Here is a 12,873-nt window from a genome sequence, read left to right as displayed (position 1 = left end):
TATTCATCACAAAAAAGCAAAGGATGCAGAATTATGGATACTAACTGTTCATTGTGCCTGTCTCTGTCTTTTTACCCCCTATGCATTTATATATATACATAGGTTTGAAATGTGATCCTAGAGAACATTTTATAATGAGACTTTCTTCCCCCCTAAACACTGCAAAGTATCAGGCTGGGGTGCAGTGGTGTGATCTTGGCTCACCGCAACCTCCGCTTCCCGGGTGCAAGTGATTCTCCTGCTTCAGCCTTCTGAGTAGCTGGGATTACAGGCATGCGCCACCATGCCTGGCTAATTTTTGTATTTTTAGTAGAGATGGGGTTTCACCATGTTGGCCTGGCTGATCTAGAACTCCTGGACTCAAGTGATCCGCCCATCTTGGCCTCCCAAAGTGCTGGGATTATAGGCGTGAGCCAGCGTGCCTGGCCCCTGTCATAACTTTTTAAACTAGTTTTCCATTAATTGCCATTTAAGTTGTTTTCTAACTTTACTATTACAAACATGTTACATTGAACTTCCTTATACTACATGTTATTGTGAAATAGAGTAAGTGTTGTTAAAATGGAATAGACTTTCAAAAGGGCAATTATTGGGTCTTGGCTTGTGTTCATCTAAAATGAATAGATATGACCCAATCAGTGGCCTTTGAAAAACAGTGTAGTGATATATATTCCCATTTATAAAGTTTAAGACTAATTTTAGTTGACTGTAAATATTATTTTCTTAGATTTTTGGTGTATGGCTTTCAGGATAACACAAGGTGAAATGCTGATTGAAATGTTAAGAATGTGGAGTTGATCACAACTTGAGTTTTAACATTTGTTTTTATTTTGTGCATTAGATTTGCTTTTTCTTGCATTTCTTATTTCTGCAAACTTTTATTGAGACATACATGGCACACAATTAGAAATGTATAGTTCAATTAATTTTCACAAACTGAACACACCTATTTAATCAGCTTCCAGACAAACAAAACATTGCTAGCCTCCAGAAGTCTTATTCTATCAGTAACTCACTAAGGTAACCATTGTCTTGATTTCTGATACCATTGATTGGTTTTGTCTGTATTTGAACTGTATGTAGTCATATAGTATATGCTAGTAGTTGCTTTCTTTCCTCAATGTTATTTGTGAGGTTCATCCATGTTTTTGCAAGAGGTTTTATACCAGTTATTTTCATTATTGTGTAGTATTTCATTGTATAACTATAATTAGCTTACCCATTCTTTTGTTGATAAGAATTTAATTGTTTCTGATTTTTGACTCTTAGAACTATTACTAATAATACTTTTTCAAATGTTCTAAGGTGAACATGTGTCTTAGATGTATTCCCCAGGAATTTTGATGGGTTGGTGTATTTTAGCAGTTTGGTTTTTTTCCCTCCAAAATGGTTAATACCAGCTTGCACTCTCACAGTATATAAAAGTTTAGTTGCTCTGCATTCTTGACAATACTTAATTCTTCTTGTAGCTATTTTTGCTGAGTTGGTTTTAATCTGCATTTCCCGGGTATCCCTGATGACTAATGAAGTAGAACATCTTTCCTGCTTTATAGAAAGTTTTTGACTTTATTTATTGACTGTTTGGATAATCTCATTTGTCAAGTACCTATTCAAGGGTTCATTCTTTTTCTTTTGGGTTTCAGTCTTCTCCTTGTTTTGTAGGAGTTCTTTACGTATTAGAAGTATAAGTCCTTTGTTTGATATGTTTTGCAAATACTTTTTCCTAGTCTCTTAAAGACATTTTTTGATGAATAAAAGGTTTTAATCTTCCAGTTTATCAAATATAGTCCAGTCTGTCAAACCTTTTTTTTTTTTTAGTACTTCTTGTGTTTTGTATAAGAAATCATTGCTTAGTTTGAGGTTTTGAAAGTGTCTTCCTGTATTTTTTCCTAAAACCCTCCTTGTTTCACCTTTTACATTTAGATCTACAACCCATCTGGAATTGGTTTTTGTGTATGGTGTGTTGAGATTCATTTCTTTTCCTGTATGAGTATATAGTTGATCTAGCAGTATTTATTGAAAAGACCATCCTTTTCCCACTGCAATGCTACATCAAGTTTTTCAGACATCAGAGTACTGTATGTGAGATGGGTCTGTTTCTAGACTCTTCTTTCAAAGGAAAACTGATTTGATCATTTTGCTTATTCTTGTACAAGTACTATATTCTCTTAATAAAGGTTTATGATAGTTCTTAAGATCTGATAATATAATTTTTTCAGATTAGAACCTCAAAACGACTTGGGCTGTCCTTGGCATTTCTCTATAATTTTTAGAATGGAAATTTGTTAATTTCTACAAGAAAACCTGCTGAGATCTTACATCAGTTGTAAAGATCAAATTGAGTAAAATTGGTATCTTGGCAATATTGAGTTTCAAATTCATAAGCAGAGTAAATTCCTCCATTTATTTAGGTTTTCTTTAATTTCTCTCAGTGAGAACAAAGCTAGAAGACTTAACACTATTAGTTATGAAGACTAAATGTAACATCTGGGCTCATTAAGACAGTATAGTATTGATACAAGTATATGTAAATAACTTACTCAAATAGACCAGAGAATCAGGCCTAGGGTTATGGTTCATGCCTGTAATGTCTGCACTTTGGGAGGCCCAAGGCAGGAGGATCACTTGAACCCAGGAGTTTGAGACCAGCCTGGGCAATATAGTGAGACCCTGCTTCTCAAAAAAAAAAAAAATGTAGCTTGGTAGCTGGGTGTGGTGGCATGCACCTGTAGTTGCAGCTACTTGGAAGGCTGAGGTGGGAGGATTGCTTGAGCCTGGAAGATTGGGACTGCAGTGAGCCATGATCATGCCACTGTACTCTGGCCTGGGTTATAGAATGAGACCTTGTCTCCAAAAAAAAAAAAAAAAAAAAAAAAGACCGGCTTGGTGGCTCACGCCTGTAATCCCAGCACTTTGGGAGGGGCCAAGGCAGGTGGATCACCTAAGGTCAGGAGTTCGAGACCAGCCTGGCCAACCCAGTGAAACCATGTCTCTACTAAAAATACAAAAATTAGCTGGGCGTGGTGGTGGGCGCCTGGAGTACCACTCTGGCCGACAGAGTGAGACTCTGTCTAAAGCAAAAAACAAAACAAAACAAAAAAAACAGAGAGTCAAAAGCCAGCAGTATCAGTGTTTGTTCTATTTTATGTTTAATTGACGAGTGCTTTAGAATTACAATCTTTAGTGTTATTTTACTTAATTTTCCTTTTCTAACAGGTGTGGGCCATGTTTGAGGATTGCCCCAGCATTCAGTTCTATGAGTAATAAATATCCACAGGCTGTTTTCTTGGAAGTCGATGTACATCAGTGTCAGGTAAGGGAAAGGAATCTTTTTTCTTTTTAATTTACTTTTGAATAAATTTGAAATCCAACATTAATATTCTTCATTTATCTCTTGATGCACATAGTACTTATTCCTTTGAAGATAGGAAGATGTTATGTTGATGTCATTATTACAGATGTCATTATGGCTGCATTAGTTAAGAAGAGTAGCACATTATTAATTGCTTCAGGTTTGTATTAATCACCTTCTGATATAAAATTAATACGATGTTGTTAATAGGTCACCTAGCAGTTCTGTGTATTACATTTCCTTATGTTTTGCAAACCTAGAATTATATCTTCTACCCCCGAGGTATTGGCATTATATAGCAGTGGCAAGGAGTTCTTGGTTGTAGTTTGAATTGATCAGTTTGTTATCTTATCTCCAAATGGACACACTGAGCAGAAACTTTAAAATGGTGATTATTGTTGATTGAGCCACAGTGTTGTAGGTGAATTGCCCTGATTATTTAGTTGGAATGGTATGTGGCAGTTCTGTATTTGTATATGCAGAAATGTGGGGAATTGTTAAGGGAAAAAAAAATTGGAAAGCTCCTTCCAATACTAAAAAGTAGAGTCTTTAGTTCTAACTAAGGAACAACTCTATAGCTCTGCAGCTTTATCTTTGTTAAATTTCTGAGTGTGGAAAAAATTTTAGAATATTATGTAGTGTGTAGTTACTTTGGGGGTTTGTTGAAAACCCTACATTACACACATTTATGTTTCAGCACTTAGTTGCATGTTATTGCACTATATCATTGGCCCCTGATTTAATCACTATTTCTAGAATGAAAATGCTTTTCTCCTGGAGCTGTTCTGTCAGGTATTGTAACCACTGGCTATGTGTGGTTACTGAGCACTTTAACTGTGACAAATTCATATTGATATGTACGGAAAGTATAAAATACAGATCAGATTTTAAAGACAGTATAAAAAATGTAAAATATTGCATTATCTTTTTATGTTGATTAGATTGAAAATGGATATATTAGATTTCCTGTAATATTAAACTTGATTTTACTTATTTTGCTTTTTTAATATAGATAATAGAAAATTTACAATTGCATGTGTAGCTCACATGTGCTACATATCCATTGTTTTGGGCAGCACTTTCCTGAAAGGTCATAGTTTTTTCACCTAGAGGCTTTGAGAAGACATTCCTGTGTTATCTTTATGTTCTTTTTCTTTAAAAAGTATAGTAGTGACTTTCATAATATTTGAATATATAAGGTGCCATATTTGCTTTACTGTTTCCTTTATACTTGTCATGAAAAGCTTAAACTAGGATACTCGGTGGTTATTAGGTAATTTCCATTCAGTAGTTAGTCTTATACAATTGTGGAGCTAGGACAGAATTTATAAAGATAGCTGTTAGAATGTGTTTTGATGGGTGACCAAAAGTCATTTCTGTAAGAATAAAAATTGGGTGACGGTTGCAGTGCAAAATACATTACATGCTCTTTTTAACAGGCAGATTGGCTACCGGTTTTCAGACCTGCACTTTTTTCTAGTAGCAGTGGTTTGTGTTGACTTTATCAATACCCTTCTTGGTTATTCTTTTTGAGAAATACCTGTAATTATGAAAGATCTGTCTGGCATTAAGCACAGTTTCTGCATTGGAAGCTAATTTTTCTACTGGATGATGTATTTACCAGTAAAAATGATAAAAACATGGGGAATGTTCTTTATTGTGTGTGTGATGGTAATGTAGCTATGCCCAAAGGGGAACTCTCTTAGGAATAGGTCTATTTTTTCCTTAAATAACAAAAATGCAGTATTTTACATGTTTTTAGTTCATGCTTATGGTATTTAACTTCCATAAAGGTGTAGAATGAATATTCAAAGTGGTTTAAGATTTAATTCATAACACTGTCCAACTTGCCAATTCTAGGGAACAGCTGCCACCAACAATATATCAGCAACACCTACATTTTTGTTTTTTCGAAACAAAGTGAGAATTGATCAATATCAAGGAGCAGATGCTGTGGGATTAGAAGAAAAAATCAAGCAGCACTTAGAAAATGACCCTGGAAGCAATGAGGACACAGATATTCCAAAAGGCTATGTATGTAGACTGAAAAGTGAAATCATAATGTATAATATCTTGTACATGTCATTATTGGGCTAAAATGAAATATAACTATGTTTCCATCTTCTATCTCTTACTGGTTTAGAATACTTTTAAATAAGAGCTTTCAAATTTATTAGCTGACTATTGAGTTTTGTCTGTATGTGTACGTTTGTGTGTGTGTTAAGCCTCTATCATAAATCATTTTTCCTAAATTTCTCCTAATTTTCTTTGCCACTTTTTAAAAATCTGCTTTCTGAACTATTTTAATAGCCATTTAAAAATACTTGCTTTATACTTTTTTTTCCAGAAAATGTAGAAATGTGCATTAGAAATTTTTTTTTCACTTTTTGACAGTTATGTAAAATGACTTACAGGTTTTAGTTATGGCCATTAACTCCTTTTACTGTCACTCACTTCCTATAGTTTTATCTTTTTAAATGTATGCCCTCTTTTCTGGCACTGTATTTAAAAAAAAAAAAAAGTCTAATTACTGATTTTGTTTTAGAATCAAATTTGACTTTGTTATCACATGTATTCTAGGTTTTAAGAGTAAGTTATTTCAAATAACAACATAAAGACTTAAGAATCTAAAGGATAGTGTGTGGAAACTGCAGAGTATAAATAGTTAGAATGCAGCATTTTTAATTTGAGAGCTATTCAAGAAGGAAGCAAAATTTGGAAGTAGCACTTCATGGTATTAGATTTGCTTATACAAATAGGTAAATCTTGTATACTAAGAGATATATATAGTTTTTAATTTCTCTGGTTACAAAGTTACTGCACTGGCAGATCAAAGAATGAATTTTAAAAAAAGTTACCTCAAGTTAAAGTTAATATCTTTTTTTTTTTTTTTTTTGAGGCGGAGTCCCTCTGTCACCCAGGCTGGAGTGCAGTGGCACGATCTCAGCTCACTGCAACCTCCACCTCCAGGGTTCAAGCTATTCTCCTGCCTCAGCCTCCCCAGTAGCTGGGATTACAGGCACCTGCCACCATGCCCAGCTAATTTTTGTATTTTTCGTAGAGACGAGGTTTCACCATGTTGGCCAGGCTGGTCTCGAACTCCTGACCTCAGGTGATCCACCTGCCTTGGCCTCCCCCAAAGTGTTGGGATTACAGGCGTGAGCCACTGCACCTAGCCAAAGCTAATATCTTAAACAATGTATAACAGGCATATTAAAGCAGATCTGTGTCATGGAGCTACAAGTCCTCCCTGTAAGTCTAAATTCATGCCGAATGAAGAGATGCTATAGTCCAAAAAAAAAAATGAGAGATTCTTTCTATATGGGTGTGTAGTAGGAGATTGTAAGGGTGTCAGAAAGCATCAGTAATGTGATACCAGCATTAATTTAAGGAAGTACAATTACTATTTATTTAAAATAGACCTGTAATTTGAAATTGTAATGTCCAATTAGGAAGTATCAACATATCGTTTATGTCAGGGTTGTTACATCTTTTGGACAGTTTTGGAAATCATTTAACTTGTAAACCATTGTGTTTATATCTTTGTATTTTTTTCCCTTTATTACTAAGGGTGTTTGCATTAAAAAGTCTTAGGAACACAGCAGTCTTGTTGCCTAGCTACAGGCATACTTCTTTACACATCCGCTGTGGTATGAGTGTTTTGGCCTCAGATAGGAAATAGGAAAAAATGAAGTTTTAAGAAATAAAAATTTAGTTTTTGTGCAAATGTTATGGATAAAATATGAAAAGCTGTTATTTTTAAATGTCCCTTTTTTTCTGTCAGGTGTCAATCAAGACATTAAAGTTTTGAACTATTTAGGTCTCACAGGGTTATTCAGTATTTAAATTTGGTAATCTTATATAACGATGATACCATTATAACTCCCAAGAAATTTAATATTGATACAATATTTCTAATTATCCTACAGTTAAATTTTCTTAATTATCCCCAAAATATTCTTTATGGCTGTTTCCCACCATTTAGGATCAAATCAAGGATCATGCATTGCATTTAAGTTGTCCTAATTAATGTTCTTTAGTCTAGAAACTTTTCTCTGCCTTTTTTTTCTGTCATGGTTTTCCATTTTGAAAGTCTAAACCAGCACTGGTCTAGTAATATGGTAGCCACTAGGCACACTTGTCTATTGAACATTTTGTTATATGACTAGTGCAACTGAGGAACTTAATATTTAATTTTATCTAATTTTAATTAATTTAATTTTAAATTGCCACATGTGGCTAATGAGTATCATATTGAATAGCATGGGTCTAGGCTGTTTTATTTAATTAATTTTTTTTTTTTTTTTTTTTGAGATGGAGTTTCACACTTTTGTCTAGGCTGGCGTGAAGTGGCATGATCTGCAACCTCCACCGTCCCCCTGGCCCCTGCCCCTGCCGCTCGTTTGAAGCAGTTCTGCCTCGGGCTCCCAAGTAGCTGGGATTATAGGTGCCCACCACCACACCCAGCTACTTTTTGTATTTTTAGTAGAGAGGGGGTTTCACCATGTTGGCCAGGCTGGTCTCAAACTCCTGACCTCAGGTGATCCACCTGTCTCAGCCTCCCAAAGTGCTAGGATTACACGTGTGAGCCACTGCACCTAGCTAGGATATCTGTTTTATAGACTGTTGCGTATTCTGGATTAACCTGATTATTTTCCCATGATTGGCATGTTGATTATAAAGGTAGCAACATTTATTTCTCATTGCAGGTTTTCAGAATATGTCAGTTTCCAGTTATGTCAACTATGCAATGTAATAATGCCAGTTTGTCCCAGACAGTTTTTATAACAAAATACTTTAATGCACCCCTTTAAATATGTTTTGTGGGCTGGGCGTGTGGTGGCTCACGCCTGTAATCCCAGCACTTTGGGAGGCTGAGGCGGGTGGATCACCTGAGGTCAGGAGTTCAAGACCAGCCTGGCCAACATCAGAAACCCCATCTCTACCAAAAATACAAAAATTAGCCAGGTGCAGTGGCACACTGCTGTAGTCCCAGCAACTCGGGAGGCTGAAGCAGAATTGCAGGAGGCGGAGGTTGCATTGAGCCAAGATTGCGCCACTGCAACTCCAGCCTGGGCAACAGAGGGAGACTTTGTTTCAAAAAAAAAAAAAAAAAATACATATATATGTTTTGTGTGCCCCACAATAAATAAAAACAAAAACTATTTAGAAGAATTTACCCACTTAGTTTATTTTTATCATTTAGGTATTGCAAGTCTGACTGTAATGTTGTCTTAATCCTAGATACCATATTGAAGTGACATATAGATAGGATGGAAGACAAAAACATTTTAAAGATTTTGTCAAAACTGCCCTTTTAAGGCAAATGTTCATAATGCTCCGAATAATTCTGCTATAGTAAAACTTTGCTCTGTAGCCCTTTTTTCTTCCCTCCCCATCTTTTAAATTGGCTATACGTTACCCTGAGTAATACATTTACTATAACATTTCAGCTTTGAAAGCATTTAGGCTGTTTTATCTGTAACTAGAGGTCTATACTAATGATTATTACCATTTTCATATTTACTTGACATACAAAGTTTTCTTCAGTCTTTGAGAATTATGTATGTATGTATTTGTATCTTTAAAAAACATAATGAAAACCCTTTGAGATAGAGAGGTGAACATGTGACTCATCTATAATACTTGGTAGACTTGAAAAGTAATCCTTGTTTAGGAGATAAAATGGATACTTTTCTAGAAAAATACACTTTTACCAAAATCAACTCTACTAGAAGCAGAACACCTAAATAGACCAGCACCATAGAGAAATAGAAGAAATAGTAGTAAAGATTTCTTCCCTAAAGGCTTCTATGACTTTACAGGTAAATGTTGCCAAATCCGTATAAAGATCAGGTAATCTACTGTTACTGTAACTACTTAAGATCTTAAGTAAAAAGAAAACTTTTAAATTTATTTTTGAACTGTGACATTGATCTGATAATTTGACAAAGTATGCACCAAAAAAGAAAGCTGCAGACCAGTTTCAATTATGAATATTGATGTAAAATTTTTAAATAAAGTGTTAGTAAACAAAATTCAATAATATCATCATGGGCTGGGTGTGGTGGCTCATGCCTGTAATCCCAGCACTTTGGGAGGCTGAGGTGGGTAGATCACTTGAGGCCAGGAGTTGGAGACCAGCCTGGCCATTGTGAAAGCCCATCTCTACTAAAAATACAAAAAGTAGCCAGACATGGTGGCACACGCCTGTAATCCCAGCTACTCAGGAGACTGAAGCAGGAGAATCACTTGAACCCGGGAGGTGGAGGTTTCAGTGAGCCAAGATAACACCACTGTACTCCAGCCTGGGCGACAGAGTGAGAATGTCTCAAAAAAATAATAATAATAATAATAACAAAATTGAGTTTTTTTAAAGCATGTAAGAGTTGTTTATGTTAGGAAATTTACTTAATCTGTCACATTAATAGACCTAAGGAGAAAAATCATGATCTCCAAATATGCAGAAAAGGCATTTGACAAAATTTAAATACCCCTTTATTCCTAAAGCATTCAGTAAAATCTTAATAAGGGAACATTGGAAGCATTCCTACTAAAGTCAGAAATAAGACAAGCATGACCAACCGCTGTTAACACAACTCTGATGTGTGGGAGGTATGGAAGTGTTAGAATAAAGTATACAGAGATGGGCATGTGCTGACACCACAGGGAAGTAAACGGTAAAATCCAAAGTATTGAGAAATCTATAAGCTAAATGACTAGATTAAAAGAGATTTCAGAGACATATTAACCAAATACAATTTTTTTTTTTTTTTTTTTTTTTGGAGACAGAGTCTTGCTCTGTCCCCAGGCTGGAGTGCAGTGGTGTGATCTCGGCTCACTGCAACCTCCGCCTCCCAGGTTCAAGAAGTTCTCCTGCCTCAGCTTCCCGAGTAGCTGGGATTATAGGTGCCCGCCACCATGCCTGGCTAATTTTTGTATTTTTAGTAGAGACAGAGTTTCACCATGTTGGACAAGCTGGTCTCAAACTCCTGACCTCAGGCGATTCACCCGCCTCGGCCTCCTAAAATGCTGGGATTGCAGGGGTGAGCCACCCCGACCCGGCCTCCAAATATAATGTTTATACTTTTTTTTTTTTTTTTTTTTTGAGACAGGGTCTTGCTCTGCTGCCTGGGCTGGAGTACAATGGCGCAATTTCAGCTTACTGCAGCCTTGATTTCCTGAGCTCAAGCCATCCTCCCAGCTCAGCCTCCCAATTAGCTGGGACTAAAGGCACATGCCACTGCACCCAGCTAATTTTTTTTTTTAAGTTTTTTAGAGACAAAGTCTCACTATGTTGCCCAGGCTGCTCTTGAACTCCTAAGCTCAAGCTGTCCACCCACCTTGGCCTCCCAAAGTGCTGGGATTAGAAGCATGAGCCATCGTACCAGGCCTTTTTCTTTTTATCTCTATTATTGGTGTATACTTTTTTGGATCTTTATTCTGCGTGTAACAATTCAAGTGTGAAATATTTATGAGACAGTGGAGGAAATTTGACCACTGATTTGATGGTGTTAAGGAATTATTGATTGTGATAATGATATTGAGAATGTTTTTTTTTAAGTTCTTATTGCTTAGAAATTCATACTGAAATGTTCATGAATGAAATGAAAAGATGCTTTTTTTTTTTTCAAACTAATCAGGAGGAGAGTTAGGATGTAGTTGGGGGTTAAAGATGAGGCAAGAGTGGCCTTCAGTTGATGATTATTGTAGCTGGAGGTGGTGGATACATGGGATTTACTATATTATTATATTTTTGTCTGTTTGAAATTTTTCATGATAAAAACTTTAAGTCCTTATTTGCTACTCATCTTAAATTGGACATCTTCATAGATATAAAGAGTCCTTGACCACTAGAAGAGGGAAATAGGCTTTCTTTGGATCTTACGGATATTTTAATTTGCATATTTTCTTCTGTAAAACACTTATTTTTTAAAGTATAAGTCAACATTTTATAATCTTAAAGACATCATTTCTGATACCTTATCAAGTAGGCTAAGCCTAGACTTGGCTTTAATAATTGATGGTAGATCTCAGTCAGAAATGCAAATGAAAGGACTACTGTAAAAGTTTTATGAACTGTTTTAAAAGTGTTTTCTTTAAAATTGCCTAAAGAGAATCAGAGATTTAAATTTTTTAAACATTTTTATACCTAATCCAAATATGTTGCCTAAAATCTTGCAATTTTTTTTCAGATGGATTTAATGCCTTTTATTAACAAAGCTGGTTGTGAATGTCTTAATGAAAGTGATGAGCATGGATTTGACAACTGTTTACGAAAAGACACAACCTTCTTGGAATCTGACTGTGATGAACAGGTAATTGAGGGCTGAAGATAAGCTTGTGGAGATTATCACTATTTATGCCTGCTCTTGTTTCTTGTTCCCATTTTGTGGCTTACGTCTCTCCTTCCCAGATGATCACTTCTTCCTTTCATTTCTATAGCTTTTAGTTTCTTTGACTTTTGTTTTTTGACCATACATACCCACCTTCTTTGTTCTTGTATGTGGGCTGCCAGGTGCACTAAGAAAAATTGCTGAACTCTTGGGTGGGACCCACTGCAGAATTGAGCTCTTACCACTGTTTGGTCTTTTTGTTCATCCTTAACCTGACTTCCATACCTTCTTCCCACTCAGATGAATTTGTATATGAGAAATAGAGACTAATGAAATGAGCACTCCCTGTGTGGCTAATTCCTTTCTCCTAGATAGAAACCTGTATTATATTCCCTATGCTTCCCTGCCTTGCCCTTATCACAAAGTAAGTTGGGTGTTACCACCTTGATCAAGCTTTTTAAATCTTCATTTTGGCTGTTACTTTTCTCAGTTTACTTTCTCTTCCATTGTCACTGATTTGTCCCATTCCAGTTCATCTTCTATACGGTAACAGAAGTTATTTTTCTAAAATATAAAGTTGCATGTTTCCATTCCTTAGAAGAGTAAAATGACTCTTCACTGGCTTTAGGAGGAGGCTGACTTGATCTGTTTTTAACTTTCTCATCTCTTCTGCTCTTCACCTACAGTTCAGTTCCCTAATAATGTCATGCTTATTATTTTTTGATACACTATTATGGGTCAAGTATAAAAAGTATTGGTGTAACTAAAGGAAATAGCCTAGTTATTTTCTTAGGCAGATAAACCACAACATGATTCTGAAATCATAAATCCAAACCCCATCTTTCCATGCTGTAACCCCAGAGCCACCATGTTTTTCAGCTTTGAGAGTATCATTCACATTGTGTTTCTTGTAAATGGTGCCCTAAAAATAATGTAATAATGCTAATCAGCAGGACTGGTTCAGGCTTCATGAAATTTTCCTGCTCAGGAAATCTTCCCAGGGTAGATGCATAGGTACGTACATCAAACACACTTTTGGCTGGAAAGAAGATTGAGCAAATGATCCAGAAGAGTTTCGGAGAGAGAAACATTCTGACAGTGTTTCATATTCCTCTTCCCTTATGTGGCCTTCCAGATTCAGTCAGTCAAGTAAATGTAGAATGGAAGTTTGGAGGTTACTTCAGA

At 35.8% G+C, this 12,873-nt stretch overlaps 1 protein-coding gene across 4 annotated transcripts in view; it reads left to right on the top strand.

The window, feature by feature from the left end:
* The window catches only part of TXNL1 (thioredoxin like 1), a 41,384-nt gene that overhangs the window by 8,919 nt on the left and 19,592 nt on the right, over positions 1–12,873 (top strand). For 3 of the 4 annotated variants that reach the window (NM_004786.3, XM_024451289.2, XM_024451290.2), the window contains exons 2-4: positions 3,217–3,313; positions 5,213–5,386; positions 11,548–11,670. In NM_004786.3, coding sequence (NP_004777.1) covers positions 3,217–3,313; positions 5,213–5,386; positions 11,548–11,670 — 394 coding nt within the window. Of the gene's footprint in view, positions 1–3,216; positions 3,314–3,407; positions 3,513–5,212; positions 5,387–11,547; positions 11,671–12,873 lie in introns of all 4 variants that reach the window. The other variant, NR_024546.2, reaches the window with a different exon arrangement.

This window comes from Homo sapiens, chromosome 18, assembly GCF_000001405.40.
Source record: "Homo sapiens chromosome 18, GRCh38.p14 Primary Assembly".
NCBI lineage: Eukaryota > Metazoa > Chordata > Mammalia > Primates > Hominidae > Homo > Homo sapiens.
This window is presented reverse-complemented; position numbering and strand designations above follow the sequence as displayed.